Below are 14,522 nucleotides of genomic sequence, written 5' to 3'. Positions count from 1 at the left end.
TAAGGGAGCAGGATTGTGGAGTAGAGAAGGGTTAGGATTGTTAATTTTTATTATAAGCCTGACAGTATTGTTTGACTTTTAACGTATATGTACACGTGTGCATGCACACACACACATACACTAAAATAAAAAGTAAATGTAGAGAACAGCATCTCTTGCTGTACCTTCATAGCCTTTCCCTCCCTAAGACTCATCCATCTCCTGTCTGTTTCTTTCCTTTCTATGATACACCTGCTCATTCTATAAACCATTCTCTCATCCTGTCAAGATGAAAAACTACATTGGCCACTGGCTGCTTCTGAAAATCAACCCTAGAGAAACTATAGAAGCCAGAGGGAAACATATTTGAGAAACTAATGACAAACCATAAAATAAAATAAAACACTGTGATAAGGCCCCAGGGGAGTCTGAAGACTCAGGATTGTTATATGTTGGGGGAGGGAAAAGAGAGAATTGCTTCAGCCTGGGGGGAAGGCAGCCATAGGTAGCTACTAGAAGGTCAAAGGGGAACAGCGTTTCTGTTTCTGTTCTGCCACGTGGACCATCACGGCCTGCCCAATCACCACAGAGATTGGTACCAGCAACCTAAGCTACAGGTGTCAGGAGGGTACTACAAGTGCAGTACCAAAGCCCTGCAGGAAGAAGGAGGAATGAAAGGCAGGCGTGTGCCAACCAGTATCCTGGGCATTCACTGCTGTACTACTCCCATTAGGGAACGTGAATGAAATCTATGCAGACTGCTTGTAAAGAGTTTAAATATGAAACATGGACTAGAGACATTGTGTCCGGAATCGGTTCCTTCCAGTGGGTTCTTGGTCTCACTGACTTCAAGAATGAAGCTGCGGACCCTCGCAATGAGTGTTACAGTTCTTAAAGATGGTGTGTCCGAAGTTTGTTCCTTCAGATGCTCAGATGTGTCCGGAGTTTCTTCCTTCTGCTGGGTTTGTGGTCTCGCTAACCTCAAGAATGAAGCTGCAGACCTTCACCGTGTTGCAGCTCTTAAAGGTAGCGCATCCAGAGGTGTTCATTCCTCCTGGTGGGTTCGTCGTCTTGCTGGCTTCAGAAGTAAAGCTGCAGACCTTCACAGTTAGTGTCACAGTTCCAAAGCGCAGACCCAAAGAGGGAGCAGCAGCAAGATTTATTGCAAAGACCAAAAGAACAAAGCTTCCACAGTATGGAAGGGTACCTGAGCGGTTTGCTGCTGCTGGCTCCCGTGGCCAGCTTTTATTCCCTTATTTGGTGCCGCCCATGTCCTGCTGATTGGTCCATTTTACAGAGTGCTGATTGGTCCATTTTACAGAGTGCTGATTGGTGCGTTTTTACAGAGTGCTGATTGGTGCGTTTACAAACCTTTAGCTAGACACAGAGTGCTGATTGGTGCGTTTTTACAGAGTGCTGATTAGTGCATTTACAAACCTTTAGCTAGACACAGAGCACTGATTGGTGCGTTTACAATCCTTTAGCTAGACAGAAAAGTTCTCCAAGTTCCCACCTGACCCAGCAGCCCAGGTGGCTTCACCTCTCAACATGATTTGGCCGTGGTGGGAAAATTGGGATAATCACCATCAGTTCTTCAGGCCCTGAGGTTCCATCCCCTGGGCAGTTTCCAAAGTTTTAATTCATTTGGAGGTACATAAACTGCAGGCTGGGATTTAGCCCTTTTCCAACACATAGCCGTGGCTAGTAACTAATAATCCAAGAGGAAGAGTTTTCAAGACAACATAATCAAAAAGCCATATAAAGAATACAACTATCACATAAGAAAGACAACAAACTCAACAACATAAGCCATCTAAATTAGGATTATGAGAAGATTGTGAGATTATGAGAAGATTATCAGCACTCTGTAAAAATGCACCAATCAGCACTCTGTGTCTAGCTAAAGGTTTGTAAACGCACCAATCAGCACTCTGTAATTAATATAGTGATGATAAATATATGAAGAGGTTAAGGCTGATAATCAGCAATATGAAGCAAGAATGAGAACACATAAAAAAGTACCAAGTTGAATATTAAGGATGGGATATATAACAGTTGAAGTAAATAAAACAATGAATAATGTATATAGCCAAGTGGATAAAGGTGATGAATAAAGCAGTGAGTTGGAAGAACAGATGGAGAAGCTCTCTTAGAGGTCAGCAAGAAAGGGTGAAGAGACAGGAAATGTAAAAGAAAGCTAGGAGATGTGGAGGGTGGAAGGAGAGTGCAAATACTTGTGAGCAGTGGCTTTGTAATGTGTCAACGTGACTAGACTGAACTGTGCTTCCTAAAATTCCCTTTCCTGTATATTTCTAATTAGGGTGGGCCACAAGAGAGAACCCTGTGAAAGGTTTGCTGGGCATTAGCCCTTGTCTGCCAGCTCTCCTTCTTTGTGGGAAGCATCAGTGGAGCCTCCAGTTGCTCTACCTTCCCCACTAAGCTTCTCTGACTCTGGGCCAGGTGTGTGCTTGGCAACTATGATGCAGGACTCCAGTTTCTGCAATAAACAAACATGCACAATCAAAGTTAAAGGCAATAATCACTAATACAAATTGTAGTCTGTCCTCGTGGGCTCCAGTTTGTGGGTTCCAGCTTGTTCTTGCTCACCTCCACTTTACTTCACCTCCCCTTCCCAACTGTCTGCTCTGTATTTCAAAGCTCTAGCATTGGAAGTACAGGTAATCTTCTTACAGAGGCTGCTTGACCAGCTCTTACAATTTCATTAGGTCAAATCCCTGCGATGTATATATTCCCATTCACCATTCCTATCATATTGATATTGTCTCAAATTTTAATTATAAGTTGTTTTGGATAAATTGTAAGTATGGTTTTTTTCTCACTTTAGTGAGGATATACAAACTTTACCAAGGAATTTTATCACCTTTACCATATTTCTTAAATATTAAAGATTGCTTCAAACATGTTTTCAGTATGTATCTTTTTGTGGCGAAACTTCATTCTTGGTCTTATCTAAAGTATATATATTAGGCCATCATAGTTGAAAGACAATTTGGCTGGATATACAATTCTAGGTTCAAATTTATTTTCCTTTGAGACAGGATCCCACTCTGTTACTCAGGCTGGAGTGCAGTCGCACGATCACGGCTCACTGCAGCCTCCACCTCCTCAGGGTTAAGGTGATCCTCCCACCTCAGCTTCCAAAGTAGCTGGTACTATAGGAATGCATCACCATGCCTGGCTAATTTTTATATTTTTTGTGGAGACAGGGTTTTGCCATGTTGCCCAGGCTGGTCTGGAACTCCTGGGCTCAAGCAATTCACTTGCCTCCACCTCCCGAAGTGCTGGGATTACAGGCATGAGCCACTGCGCCTGACCTTTCCTTTGATATTTAAAACACATTTTTTCCCTTTTGTCGTCTTCTGTGTACTGTTCAAATCTTATTTTTGTTCTAATTGCTGATCTCTTCACTATCTCTGGAAGTTTTTTGAATTCTTTCCTTATCTTTGATGTTCTTAAATTCTATTGTGATGTTTCCAGGTTTAGACTTTTTCCCATCTCTTATTTTTCTCTCTTTCTGAAGCTGGGTATAATAGGGTTCATTCAGAGAAGCAGATCCATTAGGATATATTTCTGCAAGTTCATATATATGCATTCATATATATAAATATGAACAATAACTAATATATATACATGAGTCCACTAAATTGTCCAGTTAGGATGAATATACAGATATTGATAAATTTAAGAAATTAACAGGAATAAATAAACATGAGTAAGGGTCTTCAGGCTAGCCATAATGAAACCAAAATAGAATATATAATTTTCAAGCCAGTAGAAAACAAAAGAAAGTGGAGTAAATTGAAAATATAAAATATGGAATAAATAATTCTTAATATAATAAAAATTACAACAAATATAAATGGTTTTAGTTCACAAATGAAAAGACAAATACTCTCTATGTTATTAAGAAGTAAAAATGCAATCCAAAAATATGTTTTCTATGACAAACATTCTTAAAACCAAAAGACATAATAAGTTTGAAAATGAAAGAGTGAAAGACAAAAAAAAAACAAAAACCAGAAACCGAAAGAATTCCAGAATTGCATTCATAATAGCTGACAAAAGAGAATTTAATGTGGGGGGTAAATAAAACAACAGTGAGAAGATATAACCATTGCAAATATACATATGCACCTAATAATAGGTTACACTAACTGTATAGTAGAGAAACAGATAAATCACTGGGAGTTTTTTTTTAACACCCAACTATCAAAAATTTACTAAGCAGTATGTTGGGAGCCTCTTAGACTATCCACCTCTGCGTTGCTTTGCTGTTCGTGATATGAGACAGACAGTTGCCACGGGTGTCATCAAAGCAGTGGACAAGAAGGCTGCTGGAGTTGGCAAGGTCACCAAGTCTGCCCAGAAAGCCCAAATGAATATTACCCCTAATACCTGCAACCTCAGTCTTAATCAGTGGTGAAGGAATGGTCTCAGAACTGTTTGTTTCAATTGGCCATTTAAGTTTAATAGTAAAAGACTGGTTAATGAAAGCAATGCATCATAAAACCTTCAGAAGGAAAGGAGAATGTCTTGTGGACCACTTTGGTGTGTATGTGTCTGTGTGTGTGGCAGTTTTAAGTTATTAGTTTTTAAAATTAGTACTTTTTAATGGAAACAACTTAACCACAGCTCTCTCACAGAATTTTGAGACACATTAAAACAAATTTTAATGAGAAAAAAAGTACTAAGCAAAAATTAAACAGATTTTTATCTAAACATTATAATTAATAGACTCATACTATTAATTATATTGTTCAGATCTTTAATATGTATGTTCCAATGGTATGATTTATATATATATATATGCTACAATAGTTTATGCAACAAATAGCACATACATATTTTTAGAATCATGCACATATTTACACTAGTAGACTAGGTTTACAGAAAGTTCCAATAAACCCAGGGACAATATTATGCAGATTTTTTATTGAAACAAGATCTAACTCTGTCACCCAGGCTGGAGTGCAGGGACATGATCATAGATCATTGCAATCTCTAACTCCTGGGCTCAAGCCATCCCTACCACCTCAGTCTTCTGAATAGCTAGAACTACTACAGATGCACATCACCCCACCCAACTATTTTTCAAGAATTTTTTTGTACACACAGGGTCTTGCTATGTGCCCAGTCTGGTCTCAAATTCCTGGGCTCTAGGGATCCTCCCTCTTCTGCCTCCCAAAATGCTGGGATTACAGGCATGAGCCACTGCACCCAGACTTCATGCAGATTTTATCTTCTAAACATGAGATAATACAAGAAATTAATAATACAAAACTTTTACAAATGTCTCAAATTCTGAAGGTAACATATTGCTAAATAACTCACAGGTTAAAAATGAAATTATAATCAAAATGAGTAAATACCTAGAATTGAATGAACTTGGAAATACAAAATATATGGTACATAACTAAAGTATTATTTAGAAAGAACATTTATACCTTTAAATATGTTTATGAAGAAACAATAAAAGTTGAAACAAAGTATGCTAAGCATCCAACTCAAGAAGTTATAAAAAAGAACATCAAAGCAAACCCAAAGAAGAAAAAAGATATAATAAAGGAAACAATATAATACATTTTTTAAGTAGAAGAGATTTATAAAACTAAAAAGCTCTATTTTTGAAAAGATTGCTAAGATAAACTTTTGATAAAAGTGAATAAGGAGAAAAGGAGACAACAAAGGTAAATAAAACGCTGATCAAAAAATAAAGATAGGAAAATAATTACAGGTTTCAAAAGAGATAAAATAAATAAATTCCTGGAAAATATATAAAATGCCAAACTAACCCAAGAAGAAAAAGGAAACTTAAAATAGACTCACAAGGATTAAGGAAATTTAATTGGTAGTTAAATCTCCAAACCAAAGATCTCCAGGCCTGCCGGCATGCTTTCAAAATGAACTCTATCAAACTTGGTTTTTGTTGTTGTTGTTGTTGTTTTGAGACAGGGTCTCGCTCTGTCACCCAGGCTGGAGTGTAGTAGCATGATTGTAGCTCACTGCAATCTTGAACTTCTGGGATTAAAGGATCTTCCTGCCATAGCCTCTGGAGTAGCTGGGACTACATACGGGTATGAGCTACCTCATGCCGGCCTCTATCAAACTTTCAAAAACTAATTCCTGTTTTATAAATTATTCCAGAAAATGCAAAAAAAAAAAAGAGTTTCAATTCATTTTATAAAGTTAATATAATCTCATTTTCCTTATTGCTTCTGGATTTTAGCCATAGTTTAGAAACTTTTCCCAACTCACAGATTGTAGAGGACTTCATCCTACCTTCTCTAGAACTTGTGTGATTTCATTTTATTTTTACATTTATCTCTTAGAGCCATTTGAAATTTATTCCAGTATGTGCTATAAATAATAGGTCTGATATTCTCTATTCCCATGTAACTACACACAGCTCACAGGCGCCAATTGTTAAATTTTCAGGGATTTTGTGAGCTGATTGTTAAACATAGCCATTATTACAAAATAAATTATATCAACTTAAAATGAAATAAATCATGTTAGAAATGAAGCTAATAAATATTCACAACTTATCATTCATATTACTTTGATACATTTTACTACTATCAAGACTTCTGAGGTTATTTATATCTATCGTGTCCACACAATGGACATACTATAAGCATGGAATGCTGCTATGCATCTTTTCCCAAGTCTTTATTTCATGATGCCATACTGATAGCATGAAATTGGCTATGGTGGGAGCATTTACATCACAAAAGTTAGTGATGCTAAAATCAGGGCTTAATTTATTATTTCATTGATTGTGTAGAACAAGGATCACTATGGCCAGTAGGCCAAATCCAGCCTGCCAGCTGTTTGTGTAAATAAAGTTTTATTGGAACACAGCCACAGCTCTTTGTTCACTATCATCCATGGCTGCTTTTATGCTTTCATGGCAGTTGAATAGTTGCAACAGATACCATATGGACCAAAAAGCATAAAATATCTCCTATCTGGCCTTTACAGAAAACCCTAGTCTAGACTTTAAAAGATAACAGAGAAAATGTTAGCAGCATAGATTAATTTTAAAAGTGTATGATAGGCAGTCTCAGTATGAGGGCAGCTGAAGCAGCTGGCTCAATTAAGATGAGGCTTCTGCTACTTCTCCTGGTGGTGTCGGCAGTGGTGGCCAACCTGGGCAGCATGCCCAGCAAGAGATTAAAGATGCAATACACCACAGGGCCACCGCTCAAGTTCTAGATTTCTGTTTCCTAAGGTTACAGGTGGGTGTTTGAGGAGCACATGTGGGTTATTAGCCAGCAGTACCCAGACATCACACTGAAGGAGAGAATTACCTCCCTCAACCAATATATAGACACATAGCATCTTTCCTGACAGCCTTCAGTCTATTACTAATAGGGTTAATAATTGTTGTCAAGGATCCTTTTGCTTTCTTTGGCATACAAGCTCCTAGCCTTCGGTGAAATACATAGCATAGATAAAAAACAATCACAACTTCTGGAAATCAAGGACACACTTAGAGAAATGCAAAATGCACTGGAAAGTCTCAGCAATAGAATCAGACAAGCGGAAGAAAGAACTTCAGAGCTCAAAGACAAGGTTTTTGAATTAACCCAATCCAACAAAGACAAAGAAAAAATAATTTAAAAAATGGACAAACGCTCCAAGAAATTTGGGATTATGTTAAATGACCAAACCTAAGATTAATTGGTGTTCCTGAGGAAAAAGAGAAATCTAAGTTTGGAAAACATATTTAAGGGAATAATTGAGGAAAACTTCCCAACTTTGCTAGAAATCTAGATATCCAAATACAAGAAGCTCAAAGAACACCTGAGAAATTTATAGCAAAAAGATAATCACTTAGGCACATAGTCATCACGTTATCTAAAGTCAAGACGAAGGAAAGAATCTTAAGAGGTATGAGGCAAAGCACCAGGTAACCTCTAAAGGAAAACCTAGCAGATTAACAGCAGATTTCTCAGCAGAAATCCTACAAGCTAGAAGAGATTGGGGCCCTATCTTCAGACTCCTTAAACAAAACCATTATCAGCCAAGAGTTTTGTGTCCCGCAGAACTAAGCTTCATAAATGAAGGAAAGATACAGTCTTTTTCTGACAAACAAATGCTGAGAGAATTCACCAGTATCAAGCCAACGCTACAAGAATGGCTAAAGGAGCTCTAAATCTTGAAACAAATCCTTGAAATACACTAAAATAGAACCTCCTTCAAGCATAAATCTCACAGTGCCTACAAAACAAAAACACAATTAAAAAAAAACAGATATTCAGGCAACAAACAACAAATAGCACCACGAATAGAACAGGACCTCACATCTCACTACTAAACGTTGAATGAAAATGGCCTAAATGCTCCAGTTAAAAAATACAGAATGGCAGAATGGATAAGAATTCACCAACCAAGTAACTACTGTCTTTAAGAGACTCATCTAACACATAAGGACTCACATAAACTTAAGGTAAAGGGATAGAAATAGACATTTCATGCAAATGGACATCAAAAGCAAGCAGGAGTAGCTATTCTTATATTAGGCAAAATGAGCTTTAAAGCAATGGCAGTTAAAAAAAGACAAAGAGGGACATTATATAATGATGAAAGGACTTATCCAACAGGAAAGTTTCACAATTCTAAATATATATGCACCTAACACTGGAGCTCCCAAATTTATAAAACAATTACTATTAGGCCTAAGAAATGAGATAGACAGCAACATAATAATAGTGGGTGACTTCAATACTCCACTGACAGCACTAGACAGGTCATCAAGACAGAAAGTCAACAAGGAAACAATGGATTTAAACTATACCCTAGAACAAATGGACTTAACAGATATTTACAGAACATTCTGCCCAGCAACTGCAGAATATACATTCTATTCATCAGCACATGGAACATTCTCCATGTTAGACCATATGATAGGCCACAAAATGAGTCTTAATACATTTAAGAAAATTGAAATTAAATCAAGTACTCTCTCAGACCACAGTGGAATAAAATTGGAAATCAACTCCAAAGGAACCCTCAAATACATGGAAATTAAATAACCTGGTCCTGAATGATCATTGGGTCAACAATAAAATCAAGATGAAAATTTTAAAATTATTTGAACTGAATGATAATAGTGACACAACCTATCAAAACCTCTGGAATACAGCAAAGACCTTGCTAAGAGGAAAATTCATAGCATTAAATGTCTATATCAAAAAGTCTGAAAGAGCACAAATAGACAATCTAAGGTCACACCTCAAGGAACAAAACAAACAAGAATGAGCCAAACCCAAACCCTGCAGAAGAAAATAAATAACAAAGATCAGAGCAGAATTAAATGAAATTAAAACCAAAAAATACAAAAGATAAATGAAACAAAAACCTGGTTCTTTGAAAAGATAAATAAAATTGGCCGGGTGTGGTGGCTTACGCCTGTAATCCCAGCACTTTGGGAGGCTGAGGTGGGTGGATCACGAGGTCAGGAAATCAAGACCTTCCTGGCTAACACGGTGAAACCCCATCTCTACTAAAAATACAAAAAAATTTAGCCAGGTGTGGTGTCGGGCTCCTGTGGTCCCAGCTACTCAGGAGGCTGAGGCAGGAGAATGGTGTGAACCTGGGAGGCAGAGCTTGCAGTGAGCCGAGATCGTGCCATTGCACTCCAGCCTGGGCGACAGAGCAAGACTCCATCTCAAAAAAAAAAAAAAAAAGAAAAGATAAATAAAATTGATAGACCACTAGTGAGATTAACCAAGAAAAGAAGAGAGAAGATCCAAATAAGCTCAATTAGAAATGAAACAGGAGATATTACTACTGATACCGGAGAAATACAAAAGATTATTCAAGGCTACTATGAACAGCTTTACACACATAAACTAGAAAACCTAGAGGAAATGGGTAAATTCCTGGAAATATGCAATCCCCCTAGATTAAAACAGGAAGAAATAGAAATGCTATTCTATTCTAAAACCAATAACAAGCAGCAAGATTGAAATGGTAATTTTAAAAACCTCCAACAAAAAAAGTCCAGGATCAAATGGATTCACAGTTGAATTCTTTCAGACATTCAAAGAATTTGTACCAATCCTATCGATATTATTCCACAAGATAAAGAGGGAATCCTCCTTAAGTCATTCTATGAAGCCCGTATCACTCTAATACAAAAATCAGGAAAGGACATAGCAAAAAAAGAAAACTACAGACCAATATCCCTGATGAATACAAATGCAAAAATCCTTAACAAACTATTAGCTAACCAAATCCATCAGAATATCAAAAAGATAATCCACCATGATCAAGTGGGTTTCATACCAAAGATAGTTTGACATATGCAAGTCAATAAATGTGATACACTACATAAACAGAATTAAAACCAAAAATCACATTATCATCTCAATCAATGCAGAAAAAGCATTTGACAAAATCTAGCATTCCTTTATGATTAAAACCCTCAGCAAAATCAGCATAGAAGGGACATATCTTAACGTAATAAAAGCTATCTATGACAAACCCACAGCCGAAGTAATACTGAATGGGGAAAAGTTGATAGCATTCCCCCTGAGAACTGGAACAAGACAAGGATGTCCACTCTCACCACTTCTATTCAACATAGTACTGGAAGTCCTAGCCAGAGCAATTAGACAAGAGAAAGAAATAAAGGGCATCCAAATTGGTGAAGAGGAAGTCAAACTGTCGCTGTTTGCTGATGATATGATAGTATACCTAGAAAACCCTAAAGACTCCAACAGAAAGCTCCTAGAACTAATAAATGAATTCAGCAAAGTTTCAGGATACAAAATTAATGTACACAAATCAGTAGCTCTGCTATACACCAACAACAACCAAGCTGAGAATCAAATCAAGAACTCAACCCCTTTTACAATAGCTGCCAAAATAATAATAATAATAATAATAAATAACACTTTGGAATATACCTAACAAAGGAGATAAAAGACCTCTACAAGGAAAACTACAAAACACTGCTGAAAGAAACAAATCTGGAGGCATCACATTATCTGACTTCAAACTATACTATAAAGCCATAGTCACCAAAACAGCATGGTACTGGTAGAAAAATGAGAGCAGCAGTAGAAAGACCAATAGTGGCAGCAGGTGGCAACAGAGTCTCCACCTGGACAAGTCCAGCAGCTGAGGTGGCAGTCGTGAGTATGACACTAGTGGGGGCAACTACACTGGCGTCTTGCATAGTTATAGCTTCCCAGCACCAAAAATTACTCGGGCAGGGCGAGTCGCGCAGCAGCTCCTGGGGTGGAGGGGTGAAGGGGTGGAGTCGCTTTCCTCTGGGGCCACCTCTTCAGCTCTTGTCCTAGCTGAGTGAGGAAGCGGTGGAGGATGGCCTGTTTCATGAGTTCAAAGGCTTCAGGGATGTAAGGGTCAAAATCAATCAGCTGTCGGGTTCTGGCAGTGGAGATGAGCTGGTAGCCTTTGTGAACCTCCCACAGCCAGAGGACGCGCGGGTGGCCAAGCACACAGAGGCGGCCTGGTGCTCTCTGACTTGCCTCTGAAGACAGAAGCTGTGCATGGGAGCAGGCACCACAGCTGCTCCCCTTTAGACAAAGATATTTATCCTCCATCAGCCAGTGTGGTGGGAGCCTCTGTAGGTGGTCACCCGCACTCCCCTGGAGGTGGTGGAGGCCAGAGATCACTTTCCTCTGGTGGTGCGGCTTTGGGATACAGAGATAGGTCTGCAGCAGATGGCTCTTGGCCGCCTACCCTCTCCACCTCTGCCACCATTGCCTAGAGAGCTGGAAAGAAAAGGAGACTATCTGTTCTATGAGAGAGTGCCCCCAGCATACAGTCTTAAACCAAGGGAGGGAGCTGAAGCAGATGCTGCTCCTTTCAGAAAAGTGGATGAGATGTCACCCAAGGATCATCATAGAACTAACCAGATGCTTTTCTTGGGCAACCTAGACACAACTGTAACAGAGAGTGACATAAGAAGGGCGTTTGATTGCTTTGGAGTCATCACAGAAGTAGATATCAAGAGCCCTTTTCTTGGCCAGAGCAGTAATTACAGCCTTCTCAAATTTGAGAACCTAGATATGTCCCACAGGGCCAAATTAGCAATGTTCAGCAAAATTATAATTTGGAATCCTATCAAAATTGGTTATGGTAAAGCTACACACACCACCCACCTCTGGGTGGGTGGCCTGAAACCTTGGATGCCTCTTGCTGCCCTGACATGAGAGTTTGACCAACTTGGCACCATACACCCCACAGACTACAGAAAGGTGACAGTTGGGTGTATATCCAGTATGAAAGCCTGGATGCAGTGCACGCTGCCTGGACCCATATGCAGGACTTCCCACTTGGTGGCCCAGATCACCACCTTAGACTAGACTTTGCAGACACCAAACGTCGTTACCAGCAACAATATATGCAGCCTCTGCCCTTGACTCATTATGAGCTGGTGACAGATGCTTTTGGACATCAGGCCCTTGACCCTTTGAGGGGTGCTTAGGATAGGACACCACCCTTACTATACAGAGATTGTGATAGAGACCTTTATCCTGATTCAGATTGGGTGCCACCCCCACCCCCAATCGGAGAAGGCAGCACTGGGACTGCAGCTACTGCTGTGCCTGCTTACGAGCCACTGAATAGCCTGGATCACAGGCGGGATAGTTGTTGGTCTTTGGACAGGGACAGAGGTGATCAAGATCTGCCCAGCAGCAGAGACCAGCCTGGTAAGCAAAAGCTGCCTGATGAGAGTGGAGGACGGCATCTCGATAGGTCTCCTGAGAGTGACTGCCCACAAAAATGTCACTGCGCTCCTTCTTCTGACCACAGTCCAGAACTGAGCAGTAGCCTGGATCCTTACAACAGCGACAATGATCCATCTTCCCGTCTTCTCTTGGAAATGCCCTCTCTGATCAGAGACGGATGAGGTAGTTTGGAGAAGAGCCAGGATGACAAGCGAGACCATAAAAACTCTGCCTCAGCTGAGTGGATAGGAAGCACCACTGAGGGGAAAAACCTTCTGAAAAAAGAAGACCACACTGATGGGAGTGGACCTAGCACAAACACTGCTTCCTGGAAGCTGAAGTCCCCTTCCCAGAAACAGGATGAGGGGACAGCCCCTGTGGCAGCAGCCTCTCCCAAACTCTGTTTGGCCTGGCAGGGCATGCTTCTACTGAAGAACAGCAACTTTCCTTCCAACATTCCAACATGCAGTTGTTGCAGGGTGACCTCCAAGTGGCTAGCAGTCTTCTTGTGGAGGGCCAAAGTGGCCCAGCTCAGGATCACTCAGTGTCTCTGTTTAGACCAGCCCAAGTTGGATGAAGTAACTCGATGCATCAAAGTAGCAGGGCCTAATGGTTATGCCATTCTTCTGGCTGTGCCTGGAAGTTCTGACAGCCGGTCCCCCTCTTCCTCAGACACTGTCACTTCTACTAAGAGGCTGCTTAGGAGCCTTGTGTCCTATTTAAAGCAAAAGCAGGTACCCAGGGTGATCAGCCTGGTGAGGGGGGCACAACAAAGACAAGGAAAACGCCGGGATCCTTCTTGCCTTCCCACCTTGTGAGCTCTCCCACCAATTCCTGGATTCCAAGGCACTGGCTAAATCTGAAGAAGATTACCTGGTCATGATTATTGTCCATGCAAAACTGGTTGAACAGCAGATGGAGATGTGGAATTCAAAGCTCTAATGGACCTTTTTGAAGAGAAATTGTGGCTTATGTGGAATTTACGTGGCCCTCTGATGGAAGAAAGGTAATCTATTTAGTATTTGTGCATTTCACTAAAATGGCAGCTTAAAGTTTTGTATCTGCCATTGTGATGCCAATGCCAGTGTTTTAAGTGGGGAAAAAAATGACCTGTTTGCTTTGTGCTATGTACATAAGATTTCTAGAAGAGTAAAGAAAAACCTTTTTGATGGCTCACACAGCTTAAGAGTAGCTGTCTCTCAAACATGTACTCACAGTTGAGCTGCTTTTGTTTTATTCTAAATAAATTGTTTCTTTTGAAGAAAAAAAAGAAGTAGGCACACAGACCAATGGAACAGACTAGAGAACCCAAAATAAAGCCAAATACTTACAGCCAACTGATCTTTGACAAAGCAAACAAAAACATAAAGTGGGGAAAGGACACCCGATTCAACAATTGGTGCTGGGATAATTGGCAAGCTACATGTAAGAGAATGAAACAGGATCCTCATCTCTCACCTTATACAAAAATCAACTCAAGATGGATCAAGAACTTAAATCTGAGACCTGAAACCATAAAAATTCTAGACAATAACATCAGAAAAACACTTCTAAACATTGGCTTAGGCAAAGATTTCATGACCAAGAACCCAAAAGCAAATGCAACAAAAACAAAGATAAATAGGTGGGACTTAATTAAACTAAAGAGTTTTTGCATGGCAAAAGAAACAATCAGCAGAATAAACAGACAACCCAGAGAGTGAGAGAAAATCTTCACAGTCTATACATCTGACAAAGGATTAATATCCAGAATCTACGAGGAACTCAAACAAATTAGAAAAAAACAAACAATCGCATCAAAAAGTGGGCTAAAGA

The 14,522-nt window shown here is 39.6% G+C and overlaps 2 pseudogenes; both read left to right on the top strand.

Annotated features, from left to right (window-relative positions):
* Positions 1–4,282: 4,282 nt before the first annotated feature.
* Positions 4,283–13,800, top strand: LOC112267893 (RNA-binding protein 15-like; annotated as a pseudogene).
* Positions 7,058–7,430, top strand: SELENOTP2 (selenoprotein T pseudogene 2; annotated as a pseudogene).
* Positions 13,801–14,522: the final 722 nt, after the last annotated feature.

The sequence above is a fragment of the Homo sapiens genome, chromosome 5, assembly GCF_000001405.40.
Source record: "Homo sapiens chromosome 5, GRCh38.p14 Primary Assembly".
NCBI classification, from domain to species: Eukaryota; Metazoa; Chordata; class Mammalia; order Primates; family Hominidae; genus Homo; species Homo sapiens.
This window is presented reverse-complemented; position numbering and strand designations above follow the sequence as displayed.